This window comes from Homo sapiens, chromosome 19, assembly GCF_000001405.40.
Source record: "Homo sapiens chromosome 19, GRCh38.p14 Primary Assembly".
Classification (NCBI taxonomy): Eukaryota; Metazoa; Chordata; class Mammalia; order Primates; family Hominidae; genus Homo; species Homo sapiens.
The window spans coordinates 48,953,561-48,968,129 of record NC_000019.10 but is presented as its reverse complement, the minus strand read 5'-3'; the positions used below and the strand labels follow the sequence as shown (position 1 = coordinate 48,968,129).

The window sequence follows — 14,569 nt, the reverse complement described above, 5'->3', positions numbered from 1 at the left end:
TCCCAGGTGTGGTCAGACATGACACTTGGTGGGCCTGGCTGTGACGTCCCCCCAGTACCACCCCTTCCCTGGTCTGAGCTCATCCTCTTATTCTAGAGAGACTTGGGGGGTCTCCCTATGTTGCTTAGGCTGGTCTCAACCTCCTGGGCTCAAGTGATCGTCCTGCCTTGGCCTCCCAAAGTGCTGGGATTACAGGCTTGAACCACCCTGCCCCAGACCCAGGGGAAGGAGAAGGGGAAGAGTCAGAGCTGACACAGCAGTTTTGCAGCTTGGACACAGCAAGTGCTTTTTAAGGCCTGTTTTAAGCTTCTTCAGTTCCCATTTGGAGAATCCGGCCCAAGGTTTCACATCCCATTTCTGTGATGAACCCTAAACCCCTTGTCCAGCATTGCTTGGGCATCACGTGTTCCTGGCTGCTCAGCTCCACTGGCCAGTTCCTCTCAGTGTGCGCCTCACATTGGGATCACTCAAGCTCGGGCCATAATCTCTTAAACTCTGGAGCAAAGACCTCAGTGAGCCCCCCGGTTGCCATGCAAGTTGCATAGCAATAGCGTCAATGTGCCCATATAAAGGGCCTAATAATTCCAACTGCCTCCCAGAATTGAGGCTTTTTTCTTTTTTGAGACAGAGTCTTACTCTGTTGCCCAAGCTGGAGCACAGTGGCGCCATCTCAGCTCACCGCAACTTCCGTGAGGCAGACATGTTTTTTGTTTGAGATGGGAGTTCCACTCTTTTTGCCCAGGCTGGAGTGCAATGACGCCATCTCAGCTCACTGCAACCTCCGCCTCCCAGATTCAAGCGATTCTCCTACCTCAACCTCCTGACTAGCTGGGATTACAGGTATGAGCCACCACACCCAGCTAATTTTGTATTTTAGTAGAGACGGGGTTTCTTCATGTTGGTCAGGCTGGTCTCGAACTCCTGACATCAGGTGAGCGACCCACCTGGCCCCATAATCACTCGTTAAATAGGGCTGTTTCTGGCTGAGACCTAACATCTGTTTCTAGATACCAACCTAGGTCTTAATTCAACTCCCTGGAGTCTATCTCTACCATCTGGGAGGGACAGTTAACAGCCAGGCAAGCAGAGAACCCTCAGGTTCAACACTACCCAGATAGCCTCTTGTCTTAGGACAGTTAAGAAAATGGGAGATGGGGCCAACTCCTCTTTCACTGGCATCCCAACCCAGCCAGAAGCTTTATGAGAACAGATCCCACCTCATCTTCCACACCACACACAAAACCACCAGCTGCATCAAAAAGCTTTATTTCCATTTGGTCCAAGGCTTGTTAGGATAGTTAAGAAAGCTGCCTATTGGCTGGAGGGAGAGGCTTAGGCAGAAGCCCTATTACTTTGCAAGGGGCCCTTCAGAAGTCGCTGGGCTCAGAAGGCTCTTAGTCGTGCTTGAGAGTGAGCCTTTCGAAGAGATACTCGCCCAGCCCAGCCTCCGGGCCACCCAGCCTGTGGAGGTTGGTCAGGTGGTCACCCATCTTCTTGATAAGCTTCACTTCCTCATCTAGGAAGTGAGTCTCCAGGAAGTCACAGAGCTGAGAGAGAAGAGGGAGAAATTAGAAACCCAATCCCTGGAAAAGAGGGGGAGAGAGCAGCCAGTTGCAGATTAAAATGTGACAGGTGTGAAATGAGGCTCTGAAGGAAATTTGCCCAAAGGGAGCAGAGGCTTGAGGGGTATGGTTGGGTAGCCATGGATGCAGCGGGTACGTACATGGGGGTCCGTGCGGGCAGAACCCAGGGCATGAAGATCCAAAAGGGCCTGGTTCAGCTTTTTCTCCAGGGCCATGGCAGCTTTCATGGCGTCTGGGGTTTTACCCCACTCATCTTCAGCTGGCTTCTATATAGAAGGGAGAAATGGCTCAGAATACACACACTCGGCACATAGAACTAAACCTACATTTCCCAAGAGTCGTTGGGGGTCAGAGGCCCAGGCCACAAAGACATGTGACAGCTTGTATTTATCACTCTCCGCACCCTGTCCTAGCTCTTACAGCTATACGTCCCTAAGACCACGCAGCGGTGTGGACTGCCGCGTGTTGTGGGCACTGCACGAGGTGCGCCTCTATTTCCAGCGGTTAAGAGGGCTCACAAGACCGAACTCAATCTCCCAGAAGCCCACGCGACACCTACGCCCTCAAATCAAGGCTCCTCGCGCGCACGGCCTGCTGGGAGATGTAGTCCATTACCCACACACTAGTTACCTTGATGTCCTGGAAGAGAGCGCGGCCGCCACGCTGGTTTTGCATCTTCAGGAGACGCTCGTAGCCCTCGCGCTTCTCCTCGGCCAATTCGCGGAAGAAGTGGCTCACGCCTTCCAGAGCCACATCATCGCGGTCGAAATAGAAGCCCTACGGGAAGAGATGGAGGCAACAATGGTTAGCGGGAGGCGAGGCCAAGGGGACTCCGCCCTCTGTTTACCCGACCGCACAAAGAAGGCTGGCGCGTGCAGTGAGGGCCGGAGGTGCGCAGCTGGAGGAAATTAGGGCCAGGGGCGTCCTGGGGACTCACCAGAGAGAGGTAGGTGTAGGAGGCCTGCAGGTACAAATTGACCAGGCTGTTGACGGCTGCCTCCACGTCGGTGGAATAATTCTGACGAATCTGGGAGCTCATGGTTGGTTGGCAAGAAGGAGCTAACCACAAAAACGGTGCTGGCAGGTCCCAGAAGCAGGAGATGGCCGAGAAGATGGTCCCGGAGGTTGCAAGCGGAGAGGAAATCGGAGGGCGGTCGGAGGCTGGAAGAGAGTCCCCGGATCTGTTCCGTCCAAACACTGTTGAAGCAAGAGACAGACCCGCGGGACCGCCGAACTGCGAGGGGACGTGGCTAGGGCGGCTTCTTTTATGGTGCGCCGGCCCTCGGAGGCAGGGCGCTCGGGGAGGGCTAGCGGCCAATCTGCGGTGGCAGGAGGCGGGGCCGAAGGCCGTGCCTGACCAATCCGGAGCACATAGGAGTCTCAGCCCCCCGCCCCAAAGCAAGGGGAAGTCACGCGCCTGTAGCGCCAGCGTGTTGTGAAATGGGGGCTTGGGGGGGTTGGGGCCCTGGGGCTGATTCTGGAAATGCAGGGGTTCGTGGGCGGGAGGGTGGGGGCTGGGGTCCCTCTGGGAGGCTAGAGTTTTATGGGAGCACTAACAGCCCTGTGAACTGATGACCCTGGGGTCCTGGGGTGCCTCGGGAAAGTAAGATTCTGGGGTTTCCGAGGGCATGGATTTTTCTGGAACCTTGAGTGGGGGGAGGGGCACCTCAAAGGTGCAGGGAGGACCTGTAGTTGCCTGAGGTTTGCGCTGCGAGATAAGGAGTCTCCGGATCCTTGGGAAGCTTGGAAGGCTGTGAGGTGTTATTTCTGGACCCCTGGAGATCTCTGGAAGATGGAGTGTTGCGGGGACTGGAGTCCTGGGATTTACAGGGGTGGGGGTTCACGATGCAAACTCTCTATATTTTGGAGCCCTCCCCGGGGAAATCTTTAGGTTCTTGAGGTGCTCTGCAAGTTGGAAAGGGCAGTTATTCTGGAGCCGTGGGTTTCACCCAGTGCGGGAAGCCCAGGAGGAGCATTGTATGAGGTAGGGTGACTTCTGGAACCCTGGACAGCCCTCTGGAACCCTCCAAAGATGGGCTGGGACTTTGGGGATACCTTGGAGCTCTTTCAGGGGCCCAGGCTTTTTCTGGGAGTGGAAATGGGGAGGAATGAAAAGTCTGTTTTGAGCTTTGCGGTGTCTCTGGGATTGCATTTCCTGGAGGCTGTTTTGGAGACAACTCACAGACTTCGAGAATTCTCCGTGGCCCTGAACAGTGTCTCTGAAGTTGCCCTCGTGTCTTGCCTGACGTGTGCTCCTTCAGGCCCACAAAGAGAAGCCCTGCGTTGTGGACAAACAGTCTGGGGACCTATGGACGAGACGTCTGTCTTCGACTAATGCATATTTTTTAAGTGGGCCTGGTCCACGTTGATTTCTGGGAGACGGAGTCGGCGCAAACCTTGACTCTACTTAAGTGCCCTGATGGAGGCAGCCCGTGCGCTGGGCAGGGAGCTGAAGCCACTGGGGTGTGGGGTGAGGTCAGGCCCTGCCCTACAGAGGAGCTGCTCCGAACAGCCCAGGCGGGGCAGCCCCTGACCGAGGGGATCTGCAGATGCCCCGCCAGGCCGGTATCTGGGGTCCTTGTTGCAGGCAGCGACTGCTGAGTCATGCTGAGCTCAGCGCGGGAAGGGGCCCCCGCGGGGACGGATGGGGGTGGGGCCACTCGCTGACCTCATCCCCTTGGCACTCCCCGACTTTTTTGGTGGGACCCTCAGAACTAGACCTGGCTCAGACCCAAATCGGGCCCCCTACCCCAAGGTCCCCCCTTGTTGGAAGCCGGCTGTGTGCTTTGTCTCCGTGTCTTTTTGGTTCCCATAATTTTTTTTTTTCTGGGATCCTGCCTGTGGCCATATTGTCCCCTCACTCTGGGTGGTGGCTCAGTGTACACTCATTGATCCTCTGCCCCTCTCTCTCCCCTGACTTGGGGTCTCTGGGAAGAGTCCATGGAGGAGGGGCAGCCGTCCAAAGCACCCCGTTGACTGTGGGGCCCGAGTTACTCATTTACCAAATGTCATACCTCAGCCCAGAGACCTTTAGTCGGCCGAGAGGGGCCTTGGGGCCCATAGGTGGAGGGAGAGGAGGGGCTGAGAGAGACAGGATCTGAAGACCATAGAGAACGTGGGGTGGGGAGACAGAGGCCCAGAGAAAAAGAGACTCAGACAGAGACCCTGAGAGAGAGGGGGACAGAGACCCAGAGAGAGGGGAAAACAGACCCGGAGACAGAGGGGTACAGAGACCCTGAGAGAGAGGGGAGGGGGACAGACCTAGAGAGAGGAGGGCAGAGACCCAGAGGGAGGGGAAAAGAGACCCAGAGAGAGGGGGGGACAGAGGTGGGGGGGGACAGAGGCAGGGAGGTACAGAGACCCAGGGGTGGGGGGGATAGAGACCCAGAGGGACCCGGCGGGAGGGGACAGAAATCCAGAGTGGGGGACAGAGATCCAGAGAGAGGTGGGGACAGAGATCCAGAGAAGGGGGTACAGAGACCCAGAGAGAGGGGGGACAGGGACTCAGAGAGAAGGGGACAGAGACTAGGGAGGACTGAGACCTGGGGGGGCGGGGACAGGGACCCGGGGGCGGGGGACAGAGACCGGGGAGAGGGAAAGAGACCCAGAGAGAGGGGAGGTACAGAGACCCAAGAGAGAGTGACAGCCAGAGAGAGGACAGAGACCCAGAGAGAGGGAGACAGAAACTCAGGGTCGGGGGACAGACCCAGAGAGAGATGGGGGGCCAGAGATCCAGAGGGGGGGACAGAGACCCAGAGAGAGGGGGCCAGAGGTCTGGGTGCCAGGGGTGGAAAGAGGCCCAGAGAAAGAGGGCCAAAGGTGGGGTGGGAACAGAGGCTCGGAAAGCAAAGACCCAGAGCATGGGGACAGAGACCCAGAGATGGGAGGGGGTAAAGACCCAGAGGGGGGTGCCAGAGACCCTGTGACTGAGAACCCACATCCTCTAGCCCCCTTGTCTTCGCTCCGCCTGTGTCTAAGGTCACTGGGCCTCTGAGCTCAGCACCTTCTTCCGGCAGTTCCTCTCCAGGGGGGCCCCACCCAGCTGTGGGGCCAGACCAGGTTCCTCCTCCTCTGCCCTGCCCTCCAGCCTCTCAGTCGCCAGCCAGGTCCCTTCCTCTCTGTCCTCAGCCCAGCTCAGGAGGCCTCTCCCGTGGGCCCTCGCCCTGGTGTCCTCAGCCTGCCACCCTCCAGCGACCTCACCACCAGGCTCCAGAGCCCTTCCTGCTCCTCTGGTCCTCCCATCCCTCCTCCCCCCACTCCCATTCTCCAGCTCGGTAAAGGTATGGCCTCCTGAGGTCCCACGTGTGACACGCCAGGCTGTGGTCCCCGGGCCGAGGAGGCTTGCTCTGCAGCCGGCCGTGCTGTTCTTCCCTTACCCACACGCCTGCTTGGGCCTCACAGGCCGCTGCCTCTGTCCCGCACAGATCATCCTGGGCTGCGACAGATGTACCACCTATCACCCTCGTTTCCCGTGAGCTCCCTTTTCCTTTCCCGTGAGCTCCCTTCTTTTCCTTTCCCGTGAGCTCCTGCAGGTCAGGCCCAGGACCAACTCATCCCTAACCCACAGACCCCACAGGGCACCCCAGAAAAAGATGTCAAGTGAGTGCAGAGAGCCCCACGTCCCTGAGTGGCCCAAGCAGGTATCTCTAGGCCAGCAGACGGCGGGCCCGGCGTGGGGCAGCGGACAGGGCCTGCTCTCCTGACGTGCCGGGGAGCGGGGCAGAGGCCCAGTGACTCAGATGCCGAAGTGTGTCCCGAAGGAGGTTTATTACCCCCTCAAGACCACTCTTCCCCACACCCCCCAATAATTACAAAAGTAAGAAAAATGCCCACGTCCCCCAATCCCCACCCCTCCCAGAAAAATGCCATAATTTATGGAGGAAAAACACAGTCCAAGGCAGCTGGGGGCCTCAGCCCATCTTCTTCCAGATGGTGAGTGAGGCGGTGAGCACTCCCGCCACAAAGATGGTCACGGTCTGCCACGTGGGCGTCCCAAAGTAGGAGAGGAGGCCGTCCTGGAGACAGGGACATCAGTCGCTTCAGTGACTCGGCCAGGGGCAGCCCCTGGGCAGGCAGAGGCGGGATCAGGGACGGAGGAGGCCAGAAGGCAGGATTGCGGGCAGGGGACTGAGATGAACGGGCATTAAAGAGCTGGACTCAGGCCAGGCATGGTGGCTCACACCTGTAATCCCAGCACTTTGAGAGGCTGAGGCGGGAGGATCGCTTGAGGCCAGGAGTTCGAGACCAACCTGGGCAACATAGCGAGACCCCTTCTCAGTGGGGAAAAAAAAAAAAAGGAAAGAGCTAGGGTCAGAGGGTCATCAATGAACTTGAGCAATTCCAGAGGCAGTGGAGGCTCCAGGGAGGGCAGAAGGCACTAATCAAGTCAAGGTCACAGTGAGGTCAGGGGTCACTGGGAGGTCAGCAGGGTAGATGAATCGGGGATTGATCAGACACGTAAGGAAAACGCATTATAGACCACATCTGATGATCTGAAGATGGGGAGAGGGCACCACTGTGACCTGCTCCAGAAGGCCCAGGGTCCCAGAGGAGTGGCGGGGGGCAGGGACGGTGGGGCAGGGGCGGTGGTGAGGGCGCGGTGGTGGGGGTGAGGAGGCTTGAGGAGTCTCACCCAACCACCCTGGTCTTGGATCCAGCCCAACAGCCGCTCCCGGAGGAAGTCCAATGTCCAGCCCATGATGGTTCTGATCAGTTCCGGCACCTTGGTGCACAGGGCCTGTGGGGAGTGGAGTGGGCGTTAGGGACTGAACCTTGTCCCCACTGCCTGGAGATAGTGGCCCCAAACCTCCTTTGTCAATTCTTTGCCTCCCCTCAAAGATTTCTGCCACCCACAATTGAAGTCGGCTTCAAAAATTGTAAACATGGCCAGGTGCGGCGGCTCATGCCTGTAATCCCAGCACTTTGGGAGGCCAAGGCAGGCGGATCACTTGAGGTCGGGAGTTCAAGACCAGCCTGACCAATACGGAGTAATGCCATCTCTACTAAAAATACAAAATTAGCCGGGCGTGGTGGCACATGCCTGTAATCCCAGCTACTTGGGAGTCTGAGGCAGGAGAATTGCTTGAACCCGGGAGGCGGAGGTTGCAGTGAGCCGAGGTTGCGCCATTGCACTCCAGCCTGGGCAACAAGAGCAAAACTCCATCTCAAAATAAATAAATACAAAAATTAGCTGGGTGTGGTGGCAGGCACCTGTAATCCCAGCTCCTTGGGATGCTGAGGCAGGTGAATCGCTTGAACCCAGGAGGCAGAGGTTGCAGTGAGCCCAGATCACGCCATTTCACGCCAGCCTGGACAATAGAGCAAGAATCCGTCTCAAAAAATAAATAAATAAAAAAAATAAAATTGTAAACAAGATAATGTTACTCTCAACTGCCCCACCCCTGAGCCTTCTGTGGCTCCCCAGTACCCTCAGGATGAAGACCCGAAGGCACAGTGCAGCCCACAAGCCCTGTGTGCAGGCTTTGGCCTGACCTCACTCCACCTTTCCACTTCCTGTTTTGTGCCTCGCTGAGCTGCTTCCATTTTTTTTTTTTAAGATGGAGTCTTGCTCTGACACCCAGGATGGAGTGCAGTGGCGCAATCTCGGCTCACTGAAAGCTTTGCCTTCTGGGTTCAAGCAATTCTCCTGCCCCAGCCTCCCAAAGGGTTGGGATTACAGGTGCCTGCCAACATGCCTGGCTAATTTTTTTTTTTTTTTTTGAGATAGAGTTTTGATCTTGTTGCCCAGGCTGGAGTACAATAGTGCAGTCTCGGCTCATTGCAACCTCCGCCTCCCAGATTTAAGTGATCCTCCTGCCTGAGCCTCCTAAGCAGCTGGTATTACAGGCATCCGCCACCACACCGGGCTATTTTTTTTTTTTTTTTTGAATTTTTAGTGCAGACAAGGTTTCACCATGTTGGTCAGGCTGGTCTCAAACTCCTGGCCTTAGGTGATCCGCATGCCTCAGCCTCCCAAAGTGCCGGGATTACAGGTGTGAGCCACCATGCCCAGCCCCATTTTTTTTTTTTTTTTTAATTTTTTAAATTCCCATCAAATTCTTCCTGCCTCGGGACTTCTTCATGTACTCCTGTTTCCGCCTAAACAGGCCTCGACGAAGCAAATTCTTACCCTTCAGCTCTCAGGGCAAATGTCACTTCCCCAGAGAGGACTTTTCTTTTTTTTTTTTTTTTTTTTTTGAGACGGAGTCTCACTCTGTCGCTCCAGGCTGGAGTGCAGTGGTGCAATCTCAGCTCACTGCAAACTCCGCCTCCCAGTTCACGCCATTCTTCTGCCTCAGCCTCCCGAGTAGCTGGGACTACAAGTGCCCACCACCATGCCCGGCTAATTTTTTGTATTTTTAGTAGAGACGGGGTTTCACCATGTTAGCCAGGATGGTCTCGATCTCCTGACCTCATGATCCCCCTGCCTCGGCCTCCCAAAGTGCTGGGATTACAGGCGTGAGCCACCACGCCCAGCCAGAGAGGACTTTTCTGGACCAGAGAAGATCAACCCCTGACCATGGACCCCGACCTGCTCTCCCAACTCCCAAGACTTCTCCTGCAGCCTTTATCTGGCCACTTCTATTCTATCATCCCCGCTCTGTAGGTGGTGCCACCATCACCTGCACTGCTATTCCCCTCATCTCGGACGTTCAGGCCCCATCAGCTCAATCTTGAAAACACATCAAGAAATATCCCTCTCAGCTGAGCACGGTGGCTCACGCCTGTAATCCCAGCACTTTGGGAGACCGAGGCAGGCGGATCACCTGAGGTAAGGAGTTCGAGACCAGCCTGGCCAACATGGTGAAACCCCATCTCTACTAAAAATGCAAAAATTAGCTGGGTGTGGTGGCGGACGCCTGTAATCCCAAGCTACTCGGGAGACTGAGGCAAGAGAATCGCTTAAACCCAGGAGGTGGAGGTTGCAGTGAGCTGAGATCGCGCCACTGCACTCCAGCCTGGGTGCAACCGAGAGAGACTCCGTCTCAGGAAAAAAAAAAAAGAAAGAAAGAAAGAAATATCCCTCCCATTTGCTGGTGTGGTGGGGAGAGCCTGTAATCCCAGCTTCTCAGGAGGCTGAGGTAGAATTGCTTGAACCCAGGAGGTGGAGACTGCAGTGAGCCAAGGTCATGCCACTGCATTCCAGCCTTGGTAACAGAGCGAGACCCTGTATCAAAAAAAAAAAAAAAAAAAAAAAAAAATCTTCCAAAAAGAAATATCCCTCCCTGTTGGAGACCAGCCTGGACAACATAGCGAGACCCCGTCTCTATAGAAAAAGACTAATGCAACAGTTAGTGGGGCGTGGTGGCATGCTCCTGTAGTCTCAGCTACTCTGGAGACTGAGGCGAGAGAACTGCTTGACCCCAGCGGTTTGAGGCTGCAGTGAGCTATGATCACTACTGCACTCCAGCCTGGCCAACAGAGCAAGACCCTACCTCTTAAAAAAAAAAATGCCCCCCCCGCACCTCTGCTGCTACCACCAGGGCTTGTCATCTTTCAGCAAGACTATGACAGGTGCCACCTCTCCAGGATCCTCGCTTCTGCCCTTGTGCCTCATGATCTCTTTTGGCCAACAACAGCCAGGAGCATTTCACCACCACCCCCACCACATTTTCTTATGAGAATCTTCATAATGAAAAGTTAAAAGAATTTCACAGTTAAAAGCCATATAGCCGCCACCTATAATTAGATTCTACAATTAACATTTTGCTATACAGACAGTCCCCAACTTATGACGGTTTGACTTACAATTTTGACCTTACTATGGGTTTATCGGGGCATTGAATGCATTTTCAACTTATGTTATTTTCAATTTATGATGGGATTACTAGGATGTAACACCATTGCAAGTCAAGGGGCATCTATACTTGCTAGAATAATCTCTTAAAGTTATAAATCAGGTCTTGTCGCTTCCGTATTTAAAACCAGCCAATCACTCCCATCACACTCAGAGTAAAGTTAAAGTCTTTCCAGGCTGGGTGCAGTGGTTCACGCCTGTAATCCCAGCACTTTGGGAGGCCAAGGTGGGCGGATCACTTGAGGCCAGGAGTTTGAGACCAGCCTGGCCAACATGGCGAAACTCCGTCTCTACTAAAAATACAAAAACTAGCCAGGCATGGTGGTGTGTGCCTGTAATTCTAGCTACTTGGGAGGCTAAAGCATGAGAGTCACTTGAACCCGGGAGGCAGAGGTTGCAGTGAGCCGAGATGGCGCCATTGCACTCCAGCCTGGGCAACAAAGTGAGACTCTGTCTCAAAAAAAAAAAAAAAAAAAAAAAAAAAGAAAAGAAAAAGTCTTTCCAGCAGCCCGAAAAACTCCACACAATCTGCCCCTGCCCAACTGTGCCTTCCTTTCCCACCCTCTCCCCAGTTCACTCTGTTCCAACAGCACTGGCCTCCTCCCTACTGTCAAAAGATGAGGCTTGGTCCTACCTCAGGGCCTTTGCACTTGCTGTTCCCTCTACCAGATGCCTCTTCCCCCCGATCACTATAGATCACTGCATGCTTCTTATCATTCTAGCTTTGGCTTTAATGTCACCTGCTCTTTGATGTCACCTGCCCTTAGAAGTCTTTCCTGGCTTGTTGCGGTGGCTCATGCCTGTAATCCCAGCACTTTGGGAGGCCAAGGCAGGTGGATCACTTGAGGTCAGGAGTTCAAGACCAGCCTGACCAACATGGTGAAACCCGTCTCTACTAAAAATACAAAAAAAAAAAAAAAAAAAAAAAAAGCCAGGGATAATGGTGCACACCCATAATCCCAGCTACTCAGGAAGCTGAGGCAGGAGAATCGCTTGAACCTGGGAGGCAGAGGTTGCAGTGAACCAAGATCATGCCATTGCACTCAAGCCTGGGCAACAAGAGCAAAACTCCATCTCAAAAAAAAAAAAAAAAAAAATAGAAATCTTTCCTGACCACTCTGCTAAATCACACTGCCCACTTTACTTCACCCCTGCACGTGAACTCCCTGAGAGCAGGGATGTAGCCTGCTTTGTACAGTGCTGTGTCCCAGGTGCCAGGTATAGGCCTGGCACATAGCAGGTCCAGTAAATGCTTGTTGAATGAATAAAAGAAGGAGCAGACACCCAGTGCACAGCCATCTCTCTCCATGCCCTCTGTGGTCACTGGGCCACTGCAGGGGGTTGATACCACGATCCCCAGGTCCTCACAGATCTGAGGGGGAGCATCCCTGGGCTCACTGCCCTGCAGCTGCCCACCTTGAGCACCAGTTTGCTGGCAAAGTAGAAAAGGGCGACAACCCGGCCCCAGTTGAAGTTGCCGTCAGAAAACATGTCAGCTGCCACTCGGAAAAAGACCTCTCGGGGGGAGTCTGTGTCCACGGCGGCAATCATCCTGCAGGAGAGAGGAGAACCAGTGCCGGGGAGCAGGCATCAGGCTGATGGTGGAAAATTCCCGCATCCACCGCACACTAAAGATAAGGAGACTGAGCCCCAAGCCAGGCTGAAATGAAAAGCAACAGGCCAACGGGGGACAAGGGAAGGGGACAAGACAGACATTTAGGAAGGTGGGAAAAATGACTCCCTGAAGGAGGGTTTTAAGATCCTGGCAGAGAGGAGGGCTGGGAGTCCGGAATGTTTGCGCTGAGTTGTGGGGCCCAGACTCCTAGTTCTTAGGGGAGGAGGAGAATGCGGGGCTGAGAGTCCTGTGTCCTGAAGGAGCCCAGTGGCTGGACTTCTGGGTCCTCAGGGGCCCACACCTCTGCAGCTCCATGTTACTGTCCAGTTCGTCCCCGATGCGCTTGAGACACTCGCTCAGCTTCTTGGTGGACGCATCCTGAGGCACCGGGTCCAGGGCCAGCTCGGGTGCCTCCCCCCCCATTCGCCCTGCTCGATCCTGGATGAAACTAGAGTGGGGATGGAGTGAGGGTGCAGAATCAGAACGGGGTGTCACTCCTCAAATCTGTGCCACAATAATCAGACCTCAAACTCACCCCTGAAGCAAAAGGGCCCCTGTCTTCATGATCTGCTCAGAGCTGGTGGGCCCTAGAGGAGAAAGGAAGGGAAGAGGTACCTGGACTCTTGGGTTCTAGGGGATCAGGAGACTGTGGAGACTCACGGCCCCTGAGGGAGGACAGAGCTGGGGACCCTGGACTTCTGGGACCCTAGCAGATAAAGTGACGGGGGGGCCCAGACAACTGAGTCCCTGATGGAGAAAGGCCAGGAGGCTGGGCCTGTATCCTACATTCTCCCCGGGGAAAGAGGCTAGGGGAACGCTATATGCATCCAGACCCCTGGCCTGAGGGGGCAGAGGCGAGACCCGCCCCTCCCACCAGTGCCAGAGGCAGGAAGTGGTGCGGGCGACAAGCCCGGGCCTGCCCGGGGGCTTGGCTTCCGAGATCCCCTGGTTCTCGAGGGTCCGAGAGCGCCAGAGAGGCAGGGATCGGGACACGGGGATCAGAGAGCCAGGAACCTCCGAGGACGGAGGGGACTGGAGGCTGGCAGCGCCCGATCCGGGAGTTTCTGCCCCTCAGTGCTTGGAGATCGCACAGCCCCAGGCCGGTAGGAAGGATCCCGGACGGGCCGGCGAGGGGGCTCGCCCTCCTCCCGCCCGTCTGCCTCCCGCCTCACCCCCGCCTCTGGGCTGCTCCCCGGACCCGTCCATCACCGCCGCTCCCGCCGCCGCCTCTCGCCGGGTCCGCGCGGGCGGCCGCAGCGCGCCCGGGTCACGTGAGAGCCCCGCTGAACGTGCGTCCTTCACGTGGCCGCCCCGCAAAATGGCCGCTGCCCCGCAGCGCCGCCGGGTCACGTGACCGCACCTGCCTCGCTCCCTCGGGAGGTTTGGTCCCGTCACGTGACTGTCCAATGAGCATCTCCCGATAAGTGCCAGCAGTGGCGCCGTCCAACAGCCGTCCGTCCAATCGCAGCTCTAATGCCTTCATTTATCCAGGCACCATTTTTAGAAGTTTCGGGCAGGGTTTGAGCTCTCCCCAGCGCAGAAGGAATTAGCAAGTGCAAAAGCTCAGAGGCCCAAAATAGCATGCTTCCAGGCAGGACGTTATAGATGACTAAAAACTGAGTGGTTTTGTTTTTTGCAGAGACCTGGATCTAGCAATATAGCCCACGCCCAGGCTTGTCTCTAACTTGTGAGCCCAAGAGATAACCCCGTCTCAGCCTTCCAAAGCGCTGGGATTACAGGCATGAGCTACCGCGCCAGGCCTGCTTTTCTGTTTGTTTGTTTTTTCCTGTTTTTTTTTTTTTTTTTTTTGAGACAGGGTCTCACTGTGTTGCCCAGGCTGGAGTGCAGTGGCCCAATCATGGCTCACTGCAGTCTGGAATTCCCGGGCTGAAGCCTCCCACCTCAGCCTCCTGAGTAGCTGGGACTACACCGCCCCTGGTTAATTTTTAAAACTTTTTATGTGGAGATGAGGTCTCTCTATGTTGCCCAGGCTGGTCTCTGAACTCCCAGACTCAAGCGATCCTCGCACCTTGGCCTCCCAAAGTGCTGAGATTACAGGCTTGAGCCACCCCACCCAGTCATGACTCGAATGTTTGTGTTTGTGTAAAAAGAAAAGGAATATGAAGTTTAAAAAGTGGCAGAAACTAATCTGTGCTGATAGATCAGCAGGGTATGGAGGGGAGGGGCCACAAGAGACACTCCCCGGGTGCCCCAAATATGCCATATTTTTATCTGAATGGTGTTTACATGGGTATACACATTATTATTATTATTATTATTATTATTATTATTATTATTTTGAGACGGAGTTTTGCTCTTGTTGCCCAGGATGGAGTGCAATGGCACGATCTCGGCTTACTGCAACCTCTGCCTCCGGGTTCAAGCAATTCTCCTGCCTCAGCCTCCCAAGTAGCTGGAATTGCAGGCATGCGACACCACGCCCAGCTAATTTTGTATTTTTAGTAAAGATGGGGTTTCACTATGTTGGTCAGGCTGGTCTCAAGCTCCTGACCTCAAGTGATCCACCTGCCTCGGCCTCCCAAAGTGCTGGGATTACAGGCGTGAGCCACTGTG

The 14,569-nt window shown here is 55.2% G+C and overlaps 2 protein-coding genes across 11 annotated transcripts, besides 11 other annotated features; both read right to left on the bottom strand.

Annotated features, from left to right (window-relative positions):
- Positions 1,251 to 2,821, bottom strand: FTL (ferritin light chain). The gene is made up of 4 exons (NM_000146.4): positions 2,521 to 2,821; positions 2,214 to 2,360; positions 1,724 to 1,849; positions 1,251 to 1,547 (listed from the first exon to the last, which is right to left on the bottom strand). Exons 1-4 carry the CDS (start codon positions 2,620 to 2,622, stop codon positions 1,395 to 1,397), a joined length of 528 nt encoding a protein of 175 aa, NP_000137.2. The 5' UTR covers positions 2,623 to 2,821; the 3' UTR covers positions 1,251 to 1,394.
- Positions 2,532 to 2,581: an enhancer, noted in NCBI's record as "active region_14919". NCBI's record gives its function as "activates an Ori minimal core promoter by ATAC-STARR-seq in GM12878 lymphoblastoid cells {active_cell/tissue: GM12878}" and the evidence as "EXISTENCE:reporter gene assay evidence [ECO:0000049][PMID:35858748]".
- Positions 2,832 to 2,991: a silencer, noted in NCBI's record as "silent region_10909". NCBI's record gives its function as "represses an Ori minimal core promoter by ATAC-STARR-seq in GM12878 lymphoblastoid cells {active_cell/tissue: GM12878}" and the evidence as "EXISTENCE:reporter gene assay evidence [ECO:0000049][PMID:35858748]".
- Positions 3,922 to 4,422: a transcriptional cis regulatory region, noted in NCBI's record as "intergenic|chr19:49466965-49467465 region (GRCh37/hg19 assembly coordinates) targeted for CRISPR interference". NCBI's record gives its function as "positively regulates FTL gene expression in K562 cells {active_cell/tissue: K562}" and the evidence as "EXISTENCE:mutant phenotype evidence [ECO:0000015][PMID:31784727]".
- Positions 4,131 to 4,240: an enhancer, noted in NCBI's record as "active region_14918". NCBI's record gives its function as "activates an Ori minimal core promoter by ATAC-STARR-seq in GM12878 lymphoblastoid cells {active_cell/tissue: GM12878}" and the evidence as "EXISTENCE:reporter gene assay evidence [ECO:0000049][PMID:35858748]".
- Positions 5,362 to 5,882: a transcriptional cis regulatory region, noted in NCBI's record as "intergenic|chr19:49465505-49466025 region (GRCh37/hg19 assembly coordinates) targeted for CRISPR interference". NCBI's record gives its function as "positively regulates FTL gene expression in K562 cells {active_cell/tissue: K562}" and the evidence as "EXISTENCE:mutant phenotype evidence [ECO:0000015][PMID:31784727]".
- Positions 5,362 to 5,931: a biological region, named in NCBI's record as "CRISPRi-FlowFISH-validated FTL regulatory element 2". NCBI's record gives its function as "regulatory_interactions: FTL".
- Positions 5,762 to 5,931: a silencer, noted in NCBI's record as "silent region_10908". NCBI's record gives its function as "represses an Ori minimal core promoter by ATAC-STARR-seq in GM12878 lymphoblastoid cells {active_cell/tissue: GM12878}" and the evidence as "EXISTENCE:reporter gene assay evidence [ECO:0000049][PMID:35858748]".
- BAX (BCL2 associated X, apoptosis regulator) lies at positions 6,332 to 13,255 on the bottom strand. Of its 10 annotated transcripts, NR_027882.2 has the most exons (7): positions 13,168 to 13,255; positions 12,531 to 12,582; positions 12,297 to 12,443; positions 11,797 to 11,932; positions 7,794 to 7,891; positions 7,216 to 7,320; positions 6,332 to 6,598 (listed from the first exon to the last, which is right to left on the bottom strand). NR_027882.2 is itself a non-coding variant. In NM_001291428.2 (6 exons), the coding sequence occupies exons 1-6, from the start codon at positions 13,199 to 13,201 to the stop codon at positions 6,456 to 6,458; spliced, it is 666 nt and encodes a 221-aa protein (NP_001278357.1). In that variant the 5' UTR covers positions 13,202 to 13,255; the 3' UTR covers positions 6,332 to 6,455. The 10 variants fall into 10 exon arrangements, 9 of the variants coding, with proteins under 9 accessions (NP_001278357.1, NP_620116.1, NP_620119.2 ...); NM_001291428.2 differs by lacking the exon at positions 7,794 to 7,891 and having other exon boundaries at positions 6,332 to 6,647; NM_138761.4 differs by lacking the exon at positions 7,794 to 7,891.
- Positions 12,440 to 13,007: an enhancer, noted in NCBI's record as "H3K27ac-H3K4me1 hESC enhancer chr19:49458380-49458947 (GRCh37/hg19 assembly coordinates)". NCBI's record gives its function as "activates a minimal SCP1, AML or CMV promoter by ChIP-STARR-seq in naive and primed H9 embryonic stem cells {active_cell/tissue: H9 hESC(naive and primed)}" and the evidence as "EXISTENCE:reporter gene assay evidence [ECO:0000049][PMID:30033119]".
- Positions 12,781 to 12,990: an enhancer, noted in NCBI's record as "active region_14917". NCBI's record gives its function as "activates an Ori minimal core promoter by ATAC-STARR-seq in GM12878 lymphoblastoid cells {active_cell/tissue: GM12878}" and the evidence as "EXISTENCE:reporter gene assay evidence [ECO:0000049][PMID:35858748]".
- Positions 13,008 to 13,576: an enhancer, noted in NCBI's record as "H3K27ac hESC enhancer chr19:49457811-49458379 (GRCh37/hg19 assembly coordinates)". NCBI's record gives its function as "activates a minimal SCP1, AML or CMV promoter by ChIP-STARR-seq in naive and primed H9 embryonic stem cells {active_cell/tissue: H9 hESC(naive and primed)}" and the evidence as "EXISTENCE:reporter gene assay evidence [ECO:0000049][PMID:30033119]".
- Positions 13,111 to 13,260: a silencer, noted in NCBI's record as "silent region_10907". NCBI's record gives its function as "represses an Ori minimal core promoter by ATAC-STARR-seq in GM12878 lymphoblastoid cells {active_cell/tissue: GM12878}" and the evidence as "EXISTENCE:reporter gene assay evidence [ECO:0000049][PMID:35858748]".

Coding starts and splice junctions, on each gene's coding strand:
- FTL (NM_000146.4), bottom strand. CDS start 2,622: ATGAGCTCCCAGATTCGTCAGAATTATTCCACCGACGTGGAGGCAGCC. Junction 2,361..2,520: donor CCTACACCTACCTCTCTCTG/GTGAGTCCCCAG, acceptor CTCTTCCCGTAG/GGCTTCTATTTCGACCGCGA. Junction 1,850..2,213: donor CTCTCTTCCAGGACATCAAG/GTAACTAGTGTG, acceptor CCTTCTATATAG/AAGCCAGCTGAAGATGAGTG.
- BAX (NM_001291428.2), bottom strand. CDS start 13,201: ATGGACGGGTCCGGGGAGCAGCCCAGAGGCGGGG. Junction 12,583..13,167: donor GGAGCAGCCCAGAGGCGGGG/GTGAGGCGGGAG, acceptor TTTCTCCTCTAG/GGCCCACCAGCTCTGAGCAG. Junction 12,444..12,530: donor GGGGCCCTTTTGCTTCAGGG/GTGAGTTTGAGG, acceptor TCCCCACTCTAG/TTTCATCCAGGATCGAGCAG.